The 13,610-nt window shown below is 40.9% G+C and overlaps 1 protein-coding gene across 122 annotated transcripts in view, besides 1 other annotated feature; it reads right to left on the bottom strand.

The window, feature by feature from the left end:
• The window catches only part of ABI2 (abl interactor 2), a 103,776-nt gene that overhangs the window by 75,761 nt on the left and 14,405 nt on the right, over nt 1-13,610 (bottom strand). For 8 of the 122 annotated variants that reach the window (NM_001375663.1, NM_001375727.1, NM_001375665.1 and 5 more), the window contains exon 2: nt 4,731-4,854. The exons of 113 other annotated variants lie outside the window; for them this stretch is intronic. Coding sequence is in view for 1 of the 9 variants with exons in the window: in NM_001375719.1 (NP_001362648.1) it covers nt 9,933-9,959 (27 nt within the window). In the remaining 8 variants the exon portion in view is untranslated. Of the gene's footprint in view, nt 1-4,730; nt 4,855-9,932; nt 10,045-13,610 lie in introns of all 122 variants that reach the window. One more of the 122 variants, NM_001375719.1, reaches the window with a different exon arrangement.
• Nucleotides 10,810-11,310: an enhancer, noted in NCBI's record as "H3K27ac hESC enhancer chr2:204209822-204210322 (GRCh37/hg19 assembly coordinates)". NCBI's record gives its function as "activates a minimal SCP1, AML or CMV promoter by ChIP-STARR-seq in primed H9 embryonic stem cells {active_cell/tissue: H9 hESC(primed)}" and the evidence as "EXISTENCE:reporter gene assay evidence [ECO:0000049][PMID:30033119]".

Here is a 13,610-nt window from a genome sequence, read left to right as displayed (position 1 = left end):
CAACAGAGCGAGACTCTGTCTCAAAATAAATAAAATAAAATAAAATTTCATTAAATTAAAAAATTAGCCTGGTGTGATGGCACAGGCCTGTGATCCCAGCTACTTGGGAGGCTAAGACATGAGATCCCAGGAGTCTGAGCTCGTAGTGAGCCATGATTGCAACACTGCCCTCCAGCCTGGGTGACAGAGCAAGACCTTGTCTCAAAAAAAACACAAGTTAATTTTTTCAGACCTGAAAAGTATGTCTCCACTAACTGCACTCATTAAGTGTGCAGTACAATTAATGAAAAAGACCCGTAGGAAGGATCATCATCATGAGGAATAAATGATTCCATAAGCTTTCAGAGAGAGAGAAAAAAAACTATATACAAAGAACTGAGAATCAAAACACTACTTGACTTTTCAAAGGCAACAACAAAAGCTAGGAGACAATAAACTAAAAGAATGCCTTTACAATCTGGGGAAAAAATTATTTCCAATCTATAATTCTACATCTAGTCAAACCATCTAGTGAAAGTTGAAGATTTTCAGCACACCAGGGGTTTCTTGGTGGGGTGTTTTTTTTTTTTTTTTTTTTTTGAGACAGTTTTGCTCTTGTTGCCCAGGCTGGAGTGCAATGGCGTAATCTCGGCTCACAGCAACCTCTGCCTCCCAGATTCAAGCGATTCTCCTGCCTCAGCCTCCCGAGTAGCTGGGATTACAGGCGTGCGCCACCATGCCTGCCTAATTCTGTATTTTTTTAGTAAAGACGGGGTTTCTCCATGTTGATCAGGCTGGTCTGGAACTCCAGACCTCAGGTGATCCGCCCACCTCAGCCTCCCAAAGTGCTGGGATTACAGGCATGAGCCACTGCGCCTGGCCTCTTGGGTTTTTTGTTTTTTGTTGTTTTCTTTTGTTGAGACAGGGTCCTGCTCTGTCGCCCAGGCTAGAGTGCAGTGGTGCAATGACAGCTCACTGCAGCTTCAAACTCTCAGGCTCAAGCAATCCTCTAGCCTCAGCCTCCCAAGTAGTCTGGACTAGAAGCACGCACCACCACGCCTGGCTAATTTTTTTTTTTATTTTATTTTTAGTAGAAACAACTCACCATGTTGCTCAGGCTAGTCTTCCCACCTGAGCTCCAGCAATCCTCTTACCATGACCTCCCAAAGTGCTAGGATTACAGGAATGAGCCACCGTACCCAGTCTTCTTTTTTTAACTTTCCATGTATTCTTTGTCAGGAAGCACCAGAGGATATGCACTGTCAAAACGGAAAGCCTAGAAAGAAGCATGGGATCCAGAAAATAGGATCTACATCAAAGAGGAAAAGGGAAATCCAAGGTTGACAGCAAAGGAAACTTCTGAGATGCAGCTGAGAAGCAGGACTAAAACGTTAACAATCCAGACAATCCAGATTGGAGAATGGCAAAGGGGACACACTTATGTCTTCTTGTGGGGAGGATGGATGAAACTGATATTAGAAGACAATTTTCCATAGGTCTCTGCACTCATGTGAGCAGAGGTACTGACTACCTTTATTCCACACCATCTTTTCCAGAAATGTTTATATCGAAAACAGTCTTAGAAGATACTAAGATAGCATATCCCTCTGGAGCAAAGGGCAGGCATGTTTACAGACCAATATAAAAGATTTAGGTTACCTAAATTCAGGTTCTTCCCTGTAATACAACCCTTGCATATACAAGTATCACCTGGGCCTCTTCTTATCACAATATGTGAACTGGGGCCTTGGGAACCAGTATAGTGCAAGAAAATGCTAATATGCTGGCTATTATTGTTGCTGTAATAAAGTCCTACGCCTTTGACCCAGAAGTCTCACATCTTTTGCCACAGCATCTACAAAACTCCCTGGCTAACCTGTTAACTTCCAGACAGGGTAAAAATTCAGTCCCTTCGAAGGTCTTGACAATTGGTAGTTTACTGATATGTTTCAGTATGTTCATATAAGATTCATACATCCAGAGGAGAGTTTAGAGATGAATTAAAGATAGATTCACAGGTAACTAAGCAAGTCAAAAAAATGAATTATTAGGGCCAAGGAAAAGAAAAAATTTAAGAAGTCTAATTGGCTGGGTGCAGTGGCTCACACCTGTAATCCCAGCACTTTGGGAGGCTGAGGCGAGAAGATCACTTGAGCTCAGGAGTTTGAGACCAGCCTGGGCAACATGGCGAAACCCTGTCTCTATAAAAAATACAAAAATTAGCAGGGCGTGGTGAAGCGTGCCTGTAGTCCCAGCTACTTGGAGGCCAAGGTGGGAGGTTGGCTTGAGCCCGGGAGGTGGAGGTTGCAGTGAACTGAGATTGCGCCACCGCACTCCAACCTGGGCGACAGAGTCAAACCTTGTCTCAAAAATAAATAAATAAATAAAATCTAATCACAATCCACTCTATGCTTCAGCTGTGATTACTTATATAGATATAATGGATACAATGAATAAATCTAAAAGTTGCTAAATCTACATGTTAAGAAGATAGGAAGAAATATAAGAAAGCTAAGTTACCATATCTCATAGTAAAAATGTCTGAATCTCAAAAAATAGCAATATGGGCATATCACATGGACATATGGAGACAAGTACCAGAAGAAACAGATAAGAGTTTAAAGTACCTCTGGGCCTGGCATGGTGGCTCACGCCTGTAATCCCAACACTTTGGAACGCCAAGGTGGACAGACCACTTGAGGTAAAAAGTTCGAGACCAGCCTGGCCAACATGGTAAAACCCCATCTCTACTAAAAATATAAAAACATTACAGGAATGAGCCACCAGCCAGGCGTGGTGGCACATGCCTGTAGTCCTAGCTACTCAGGAGGCTGAGGCAGGAGAATCACTTGAGCCCGGGAGGCAGAGGTTGCTGTGAGAGAAGACCATGCCACTGCACTCCAGTCTGGGCGACAGAGCGAGATTCTGTCTCAAAAAATAAATAAATACATAAATGAAGCACCTCTGGACAGAGGGAAATTAGAGGTAAAAGGGGTACTCATTTTTTTGTTTTTATTTGGTATCTAATAAAACTGCAACGTTGAAAATAATCAAATCTGTGCTACTAAATATGGTAGTCACTAGCCACATGTAGCTATGAAGCGCTTGAATGGTAGCTAGTGGAAATGCAAAATGTAATTTTAAATGTAATTTTAATTCAAGTTTAAGTAACCATGAAAGATCAATATACAAAATCAACTGTATTTTTATATGATAATTGTAATCTGAAAAAAAATTACAAATTCCATTCACAACAGAAAAAGAATAAAATATTTAGGAATAAATTTAGAAACAGAAGTACAGTCATGCATCACTTAACAGGGATACATTCTGAGAAATGCGTCATTAGACAATTCTGTCACTGTGCAAACATCACAGAGTAAACTTCGCAAATCTAGATGAAAGAGCATACTACACACTAGGCTATATGGTATAGCCTACTGCTCCTACACGACAAACCTGTACAGTATGTTACCATATGGAATACTATAGAGAGTTTTAACATAATGGTAAGCATTTGAATACCTAAACATAGAGAAGGTACAGTAACAACACAGCATAAAAGATAAAAAATGGTATACCTGCATAGGGCACTTACCATCAACGCAGCTTACAGGACTAGAACATGTCTGGGTAATAGGAGGGCCTAGGACATTACTGTACAGTACTGTAGACTTTAAAAACACTGTAGATTTATGCTACGCTAAATTTATTTCTTAAATTTTCTCTCTCCAATAATAAATTAACCTTTACTGTAATTTTTACCTCATAAACTTTTGACTGTTGTAATAAAAATACATTATGCAGTTGTACAACATTTTTTTCTTTATATCATTTTCTCTTTTCTCTATTTTTTTTTTCTTTAACTTTTTTTGTTAAAAACCGAGACACAGACGTATTAGCCTAACCCTACACAGGGTCAGGATCATCAATATCACTGTCTTCCACCTCCACATCTTGTTCCACTGGAAGGTCATCACAGGCAATAACACTTATGGAACTGTCATCTCCTCTGATAACAATGCCTTCATCTGGAATCCTCCTGAAGGACTGCCTGAGACTCCTTTACAGTTAACTTTTTTTTAATAAGTAGGAGTAAACTCTAAAATAAAAAGTACAATATCATAAATACATATACCAGTAATAATCTTTATTATTATCACTGTAACCTTGAACTTCTGAACTCAAGCCGTCCTTCCATCTCGGGCTCCCAAAAAGCTGGGATTATAGGCATGGGGGCAGCACCCCACCCAGCCTGGACAACCAGCTGCTACATCTATATGTGTATCTGTATGCCAGTACCACAGTGTCTTTATTATTGTACTTTCATAGTTTTAAAATTGTGATGTGTGTGTCTTCTGCCTTTGCTCTTCTATAACGACTAGTAGCGAAGTAGGTTTGTTTACACCAGAATCACCACAAACACAAGAGTAATGCATTGTGCTACAACATTAGGACGGCTACCATGTCACTAGGTGTTAGGAATTTTTCAGCTGTTATAATCTTATGGGACCACCATCATATATGCTGTCCATCATTGACCAGAACATCATTATGCTGCGCATGACTGTACGAGACTGAAACACTGAAAACCGGCTGGGTGCGGTAGTTCACTCCTGTAATACCAGCACTTGGGGAGGCCACAGTGGGAGGACTGCTTGAGGCCAGGAGTTTGGGACCAGCCTGAGCAATGAAGTGAGATGCTGGCTCTACAAAAAATACGAAAATCAGCCGGGCACAGTAGCACGCACCTGTAGTCCCAGACTACTGAGAGACTGAGGCAGGATGATCACTTGAGCACAGGAGTTCAAGGCTGCAGTGAGCTATGATCACACCACTGCATTCCAGCCTGCATGACATACCAAGACCCCATCTCTAAAGGAAAAAAAAAAAAAAACTAAACACTGAAAACTACAAAACATCATTGAAAGAAATTTTAAGATGATGTAAATGAAAAGACATCCATGTTCATGGATCAGAAAAGTTACTATCATTAAGATGGCTCCCCAAGTTTATCTACAGATTCAATATAATTACTGTCAAAATCCCAGCTGCCTTTGTGGCAGAAATTAACAAATGATCCTAAAATTTATATGGAAATTCAGGGGCTATAGAATAGCCAAAATAATCCTGAAACGGAAGAACAAAGGTAGAAGATACGTCACAATTTTAAAACTATAAAAGTACAGTAATAAAAACACTGAAGTACTGGCATACAGATAGACATATAGATCAATGGAATTCAGAGTCCAGAAATAAAACTGCACATTTATGGGTAATTTTTGACGAAGATGCCAAAACAATTTAACGAGGGAAAGAAAAGGCTTTTAAACAAATGGTGTTGGGTCAACTGGATAGTGACATGCAAAAGAGTAAATATGAACCCCTACTTTACAACATATGCAAAAATTAACTCAAAATGGATCAAAGATCTAAATGTAAGAGCTAAAACTATAAAACTCCTAGGAGAAAATCTTCAAAGACTCTGGATTAGGCAATAGTTTCTTATATATAACACCTAAAAGTATGCGCGCGCGCACACACACACACACACACACACACACACAAAACACACAACAAAAACAAAGAAAAGGCCGGGAACAGTGGCTCATGCCTATAATCCCAGCACTTTGGGAGGCCGAGGCGGGTGGATCATGAGGTCAGGAGTTCGAGACCAGCCTGGCCAAGATGGTGAAACCCCATCTCTAATAAAAATATAAAAATTAGCTGCGCACAGTGGCGGGCACCCGTAATCCCTGCTACTTGGGAGGCTGAGACAGGAGAATCACTTGAACCCGGGAGGCAGAGATTGCAGTGAGCCGAGATCACGCCACTACACTCTAGCCTGGGCGACAGATTAAGACTTCAACTTTAAAAAAAAAAAAAAAAGAAAAGAAAGAAAAAGAAAAAATAGTAACCACATGTGGTAGTGTCTACCTCTAGTCCTAGCTACTAGGGAGACTAAGGCTGGAGGCTTGCTTGAGCCCATGAGTTCCAGATTACAGTGAGCTTATGATCATGCCGCTGTACTCCAGCCTGGGCGACAGAGACTGACCCTGTCTCTTAAAAACAGAGACCGTTGGCCAGGCGTGGTTGGTCACGAGGCGGGAGGATCACCTGAGGTCAAGAGTTCGAGGCCAGCCAGGCCAACACGGTGAAACCTCGTCTCTACTAAAAATACGAGAATTAGCCGGGCATAGTAATGCACACCCATAATCCCAGCTACTCAAAAGGTTGAGGCATGAGAATGGCTTGAATCCGGGAGACAGAGGTTACAGTGAGCCAAGATAGCACCACTGCACTCCCGCCTAGGTGACAGTGAGATTCTGTCTCAAAAAATTTAATTGAATTTAAATAAAGAGACAGTCCACAAATGCTGACAACAATGTGGAGAAACTGGAACGCTCACACACTGATGGTGGAAATGGAAAATAGTGCAACTACCTGGGAAAACAGGCTGGCAGTTCCTCAAATGGTTAAATATACAGTTACCATATGATCCAGCAATTCTACTCTTAGGTATATACCCCAAAGAAACGAGCACATATGCCCACACAAAAACTTGTACATGAATATTTATAACGTTATATGTTATGAAATTACTCATAATTGGCAAAAGGTGGAAAAATCAGAATGTCAATCAACTGACAAATGGGTAAACAAAATGTGGTATTATCCATGTACTAGAATATTATTCAGCCGTAAAAAAAAAAAAAAATGAACACAGCCGGGCACAGTGGCTCACACCTGTAATCCCACCACTTTGGGAGGCCAAGGCAGGCGGATCACCTGAGGTCAGGAGTTCGAGACCAGCCTGACCAACGTGGTGAAACCCTGTCTTTACTAAAAATACAAAAATTAGCCAGGCATGGTGGCATGTGCCTGTAATTCCAGCTACTTGGGAGGCTGAGGAAGGAGAATCGCTTGAACGTGGGAGGCAGAGGTTGCAGTGAGCAAAGATCCTACCATTGCACTCCAGCCTGGGCAACAAGAGCAAAACTCCGCCTCAAAAAAGAAGAAAGGATATCACTGGAAAACATGGCAAAATGTTAATGGAGACTTCAGGATTAGACAGTGGAAATATATCAATATTATTTCCTGATTGTTATGACTATTTTGTGATTAATCAGGAAAACATTCTTGTTTGTGGAAAAAACACACTAAAGTGTTCAAGAGTTATAGGGCACCAGCTGGGTTCAGAGGCTAATGCCTGTAACCCCAGCACTTTGGGAAGCCAAGGCAGGCAGACTGTTTGAGTTCAGGAGTTGGAGACCAGCTTGCGCAACAAGGCAAAAGCCCACCTCTAAAAAAAAAAATACAAAAAAAAAAATTACTCGGGTGCAGTGGCACATGCCTCTAATCCCAGCTACTCAGGAGGCTGAGGCAGGAGAATCACTTGAACCCACGAGGTAGAGGCTGCAGTGAGCCGAGATCACACCATTGCACTCCAGCCTAGACAATGGAAGTGAAACCCTGTCTCAAAAACAAACAAACAAACAAACAAACAAAAAACAAAAAAAAACACCTTCAGCAAGGTTCAGGGGGCTTTGTACTATTTTTTAAAAAAATTTTTAATTAAAAATAAAAGAAATTTTGGGTGATAATGATGTGTAGATTCATCAATTATAATGATGTACCACTCTGGAGACAGATATTAATAATGGAGGCGGCTGTACATACGTGATGGGAGGAAGAAAATACATGAGAAATCTCTGTACCTTCTTCTCAATTTCACAGTGTAAACCTAAAACTGCTCTAAAAAGTAAAGCCTATTAAAAAAATAATAAGATAAAATAAACTCATTTCACCCAGGTGAGGTGATATTACATTATTGTTGAATGTTTTTAATTGAGGGAAAATTTCCATTAACTTAACCATCATTAAATTTTGGCTTATAAATCTACTTTTAATTATCTTGTCGACATATAACATATAACTGACCATATGAAAAAGAACTCTTTCATAGCTGCACATGTAACAAGGCTTGTATATAAATTATGCATGTTTTCCACCATTGCATCTTAAGCTAATTACCTCCTGCATGCTTCATACCAATTAGAATGATCACTGAGTTTTGAAAAACTCTTCATGTTTAATGTGGGAACTATTACTCCCTAGGAATAAACAAACTTTAAAATACTAAGCTTAACCTTTATTACATTTATTTTCACATAAAATATTATTATTTTGAGACAAAGTTTCGCTCTGTCCCCCAGGCTACAGTGCAGTGGCGCGATCTCTGCTCACTGCAACCTTCGCCACCCGGGTTCAAGCGATTCTCCTGCCTGAGCCTCCCAAGTAGCTGGGATTACAGACACCCGCCATCATGCCCAGCTAACTTTTGTATTTTTAGGAGACACGAGGGTTCACCACGTTGGCCAAGATGGTCTCGAACTCCTGACCTCAAGTGATCCACCCACCTCACCCTCCCAAAGTGCTGGGATTATAGGCATGAGCCACCTGCGCCCAGCCCAAATCATTTTTTTCATGCTTATATTATCACCTGGTTAATGATCAAATCCTAAATATCTAGAAAGCATCGAAACTGCAGGATTCTGAAAACATTACAAAAGGTTAATCCTATATGTAAATGTTCCTCAAACAACTGCTAGGCCTTAGACAAACTGCCAAACCAAAAAGCCATTAACAACACCCAATAACTAAACAAGCACCTACAATTTCCCAGTTAGAAACCTAAGTGTCATAAGTTATGTGTCGTATAATACACAGTTTGCCTGTGCAGAATAAACCTAAAGTATTATAAAAATATCATCTCAATCCTTATATCATTTCTATTCCCTGTTCTCTAAAACAGAAACTATTTTGTTATCTCTTCTCTCAGCTGCCCAGAAAGGCTTGGCACATGGTGGAGATTGATAAACGCCTTGTCAAATTGAACCATGAGTTTCCACTGCACATTTTCCTTGGGTGGTAATGTCATCATGCCATTTACTACATGCTACGGTTCTTCGTGTAATGGTCTTATGTCCATTATGGGATTACAAGGCTAGAAGTATCTTCAGAACAAGAATCACAAGTTTATTGATTTCTTTCTAAATTCCTATGCCACCAGAAATTTCACACAAAAGATGAGTGAAAACCAGTGCACCTTTATCTATGAACAAAACTTGCATAAACTGGGAGTCAGGATATCATCCTTCCCATTTTCAGATGGAAAAATAGAGCAAAAATGAATTACTCAACTCACTTCTATGGTTTGACCAGAGACCAAACCCATCACTTCCTTGCTTTCTATATGATCACTCCTTACCCTGTTAGGACATGCAATGGCTCCAATAAAACCAACTACAAAACAAAAAAGTACCTGATGCACATGTTAGGGCAATCATCATAATTTAATAGCTTAGTTTCAAACTCTATTATATGAAACTCATGTAAGAACACAAAGTCCTTCCTAAATAAGAAAAACTATACAAAATTAAAACAAATTCAAGTTTATAAGATAAGAAATGAATGGCTGAATAAATTTTAAAATGCACTATAGCACATGAAGTCGGGCAGCACAAACAAGGGCCTAGGTTTAAGGTCTACTGGATCCATTTTAACAGCTAGCACTGCAAGAATATAAGATAAGATAAAGGAATGACATTTCATCATACATCACATCCCCTCCTTTTGGCCACAGGTTATTATTTTGTCCCTGCTCTTTCTCCTATTTCTCTCAAAGTAGTTAATTCACTTCCCTTAAAGAAGTTAATTCATTCCCCTCAAAGACAAGATGTTAACTAAAAGACAACAGAAACATGGAATGAGAAAGAGAACAGCACAAGTTTACACTCCCTAGAGTTAAATGTGGTGGGGGAGAAAGAGTTAATTCAACTCAACAGACAATGAGGAAGAGCTAAAAGCTACAGGAATTATGACAAGGGAAAACGTGCAACTCCAGTAATGGATAAACCCAAAACACAGACCAGTATTTCTCAAATTCTCACCTTCCTTCTTACAGCTGATGTGTTCATTCAGGCAGTAATATGGTATCATACACACTGGTGATACACATGCCTATTAGTCCCATATATTCCCAAGCTGCAGAAATATTTTCCTCTAATATACAAACAAACAAACAAACATAGTCTTTTGTGGTTGTTAGCAAAAACCTGAAAAAGATACCAAATACCAAAGTAGCATCCGGTAGATCTATCTGGTTTGCACATCTGCAACAATAAACTCCTCAAAGATTTAAATAGTTGGGAAATAGCTTACTATTCTGAAATCTTATTTGGAATCAACATAGAATTACAAGCAATTTTTTTTTTTTTGAGATGGAGTTTCACTCTTGTCACCCAGACTGGAGTGAATGGCATGATCTCCATTCACTGCAACCACCACCTCCCCAGTTCAAGCGATTCTCCTGCCTCAGTTTGTGTGTGTGTGTGCGCGTGTGTATTTTTAGTAGAGACAGGGTTTCACCATGTTGTCCTGGCTAGTCTTAAACTCCTGATCTCAGGTGATTTGCCCGCCTCGGCCTCCTAAAGTGCTGGGATTACAGGCGTGAGCCACCGTGCCCGGCCAGAAGCAAATTTTTGTCAAAAGCAAAACTCATCTGATTAAAAAAGAAAATATTGCTGGGCACAGTGCCTCACGCCTGTAACCCCAGCACTCTGGGAGGCCGAGGCCAGTGGATCACTTGAGGTCAGGAGTTTGAAACCAGCCTGGCCAATGTGGTGAAACCCCGTCTCTACTAAAAATACAAAAATTAGGGCTGGGCGTGGTGGCTCAGGCCTGTAATCCCAGCTCTCTGGGAGGCCGAGGTGGGTGGATCACCTGAAGTCAGGAGTTCGAGACCAGACTGGCCAAGACGGTGAAACCCCATCTCTACTAAAAATACCAAATTAGCTGGCATGGTGGCGGGCACCTGTTGTCCCAGCTACTCAGGAGGCTGAGGCAGGAGAATCGCTTGAACCCAGGAGGTGGAGATTGCAGTGAGCTAAGATTGTGTCCGGAATTGGTTCCTTCCGGTGGGTTCTTGGTCTGGCTGACTTCAAGAATGAACCCGTGGACCCTCGCCGTGAATGTTACAGTTCTTAAAGATGGTGTGTCCGGAGTTTGTTCCTTCAGATGTTCAGATCTGTCCGGAGTTTCTTCCTTCCAGTGGGTTCCTGGTTTCGCTTGACTTCAGGGTGAAGCCACAGACCTTCGCAGTGAGCGTTACAGCTCTCAAAATGGCGTGTCTGGAGTTATTTGTTCCTCCCGATAAGTTTGTGGTCTCGCTGGCTTCAGGAGTGAAGCTGCAGACCTTCAATGTGAGTGTTACAACTCATAAAGGTAGTGCGGACCCAAAGAGTGAGCAGCAGCAAGATTTACTGGGGAAGAGCCTAAGAAGAAAGCTTCCACAGCATGGAAGAGGACCCCGGCGGGTTGCCACTGCGGGCTCCGGCAGCCAGCTTTTATTCCCTTATTTTGTGATGCCCACGTCCTACTGATTGGTCCATTTTACAGAGCACTGGTTGGTCCATTTTACAGAGCACTGGTTGGTCCATTTTACAGAGCGCTGATTGGTTCGTTTTTACAGAGTGCTTATTGGTGCATTTACAAACCTTTAGCAAGACACAGAGCGCTGACTGGTGCGTTTTTACAAAGTGCAGATTGGTGCGCTTGCAAACCTTTAGCTAGACACAGAGTCCTGATTGGTCCGTTTTTACAGAGTGCTGATTGGTGCGCTTACAAACCTTTAGCTAGACACAGAGCACTGTTTGGTGTGTTTACAATCCTTTAGCAAGACAGAAAAATTCTCCAAGTCCCCACCGGACCCAGAAGCCCAGCTGGCTTCACCTCTAAAGATCATGCCATTGTACTACAGCCTGGGCAATAAGAGCAAACCTCCGACTCAAAAAAAAAAAACAAAAACAACAACAACAACAACAACAAAGCAAAAATTAGCCGGGTGTGGCGGCAGTTGCCTGTAATCACAGCTACTCAGGAGGCTAAGGCAGAAGAATCGCTTGAACCCAGGAGGCAGAGACTGCAGTGAGACATGATCACGCCCCTGCACTCCAACCTGGGCAATAGAGCAAGAGACCCTGTCTCAAAAAAAAAGGAAAAAAAAATTTAAAAATTATATTGTTCTTGATTTTTTCATCAGGAAATACATCATTAGTACTTTAAAGCAATTACTGGCATTGTTGGGGTTTTATTATTAAAGATTGTTTCCTTTCTATGAATATTATTAATGGCCTATAGTCTTTTCTTATAATTGTAAGATGGTACAACTTATGCTGCTCAATAAGACTGTCTCTAAACAGTTGAAGCGCTAAGCTTTACTATGGAGTAAGAACCAAATGGAAATATATAAATGAATAGTAACATTTGACATTTCAAGCACTATCAAGGGTCACTGCAGCCTCCAACCCTGAGCTCAAGCAATCCTCCCACCTCAGCCTCCCAACTAGCTGGGACACCATCACACACCTCTATATCCAGCTAATTTCTGTAATTTTTGTAGAGACGGGGTCTCTCTCGTCTTTTTGCCAAGGCTAGTCTCAAACTCCTGGGCTCAAGCAATCCTCCCACCTCAGCCTCCCAAAGTGCTGAGATTAGAGGTGTGAGCCACCACATACACCAAAAAATAGTGTTTTAACTAACTTGGACAAAAACTGTTACTTTTGGAAAGGGAGAAAGGGGACCTGATTAGTGGCCAAAGAGGACATGATTTAATTAACATATTTTTGTCAGAAGAGCCTATATGCAAATAACATCAAATAGTATTAAACCAATCTCAATCAGAGAGCTTTAAATCTACTTCTAAAAACATGTTTTTAAACCTCATTAATAACTCTGAAGTGCTGGGCATAGTGGCTCACACTTGTAATCTCAACACTTTGGGAGGCCCAAGCAGGAGGATGTCTTTGAGGTCAGGAGTTGGAGATCACCCTGAGCAACCCCATCTCTATTTCAAAAATAAATAAATAGTCCTAGAAATTCTATCTTTAATCACTCATTTCAAAAGAAGGAAAAAAAAACCTGGAATATAATGCCTTGTCATTACATGCACATAACATGTTTGTACCACAAACTAACCTGCTAACATTAAATTTTTTTATGTTTTTTGAGACATAGTCTCGCTGTCGTCCAGGCTAGAGTGCAGTGCCGCAATCTCAGCTAACTGCAACCTCCGCTTCCCGAGTTCATGCGATTCTCCTGCTTCAACCTCCCGAGTAGCTGGGACTACAGATGCGTGCCACCACATCCCGCTAATTTTTGTATTTTTAGTAGAGACAAGGTTTCACCATGTTGGCCAGGCTGGTCTCAAACTCCTGACCTCACGTGATCCACCTGCCTCAGCCTCCCCAGGTGCTTGCTTTTAGTTTTGGCTGGAGGCTCCACTTCCCAATCTGCAGGCTGTAATCCTCTATAGGAAATAAAGTTCTCCTTTTTCTTCTTCCACAGATCTCATGGTCTTTTGTTAACGGTATAGACTGTATTATTTACACATGAATAAAATTCATAATTATGCATGTTAATGCATTATAAACAAATGCATGAATGATTAAAAAACTAGAAATAATATAAATTTCATGTCCATAAATTTAAACTTCCTTTTCTCTCAAAAACAATGAGATGTGTGTGTGTATAGACATTATATCAAGCCAGGCAATTTAAATATTTTTGTC

The sequence above is a fragment of the Homo sapiens genome, chromosome 2, assembly GCF_000001405.40.
Source record: "Homo sapiens chromosome 2, GRCh38.p14 Primary Assembly".
Taxonomy (NCBI): domain Eukaryota; kingdom Metazoa; phylum Chordata; class Mammalia; order Primates; family Hominidae; genus Homo; species Homo sapiens.
This window is presented reverse-complemented; position numbering and strand designations above follow the sequence as displayed.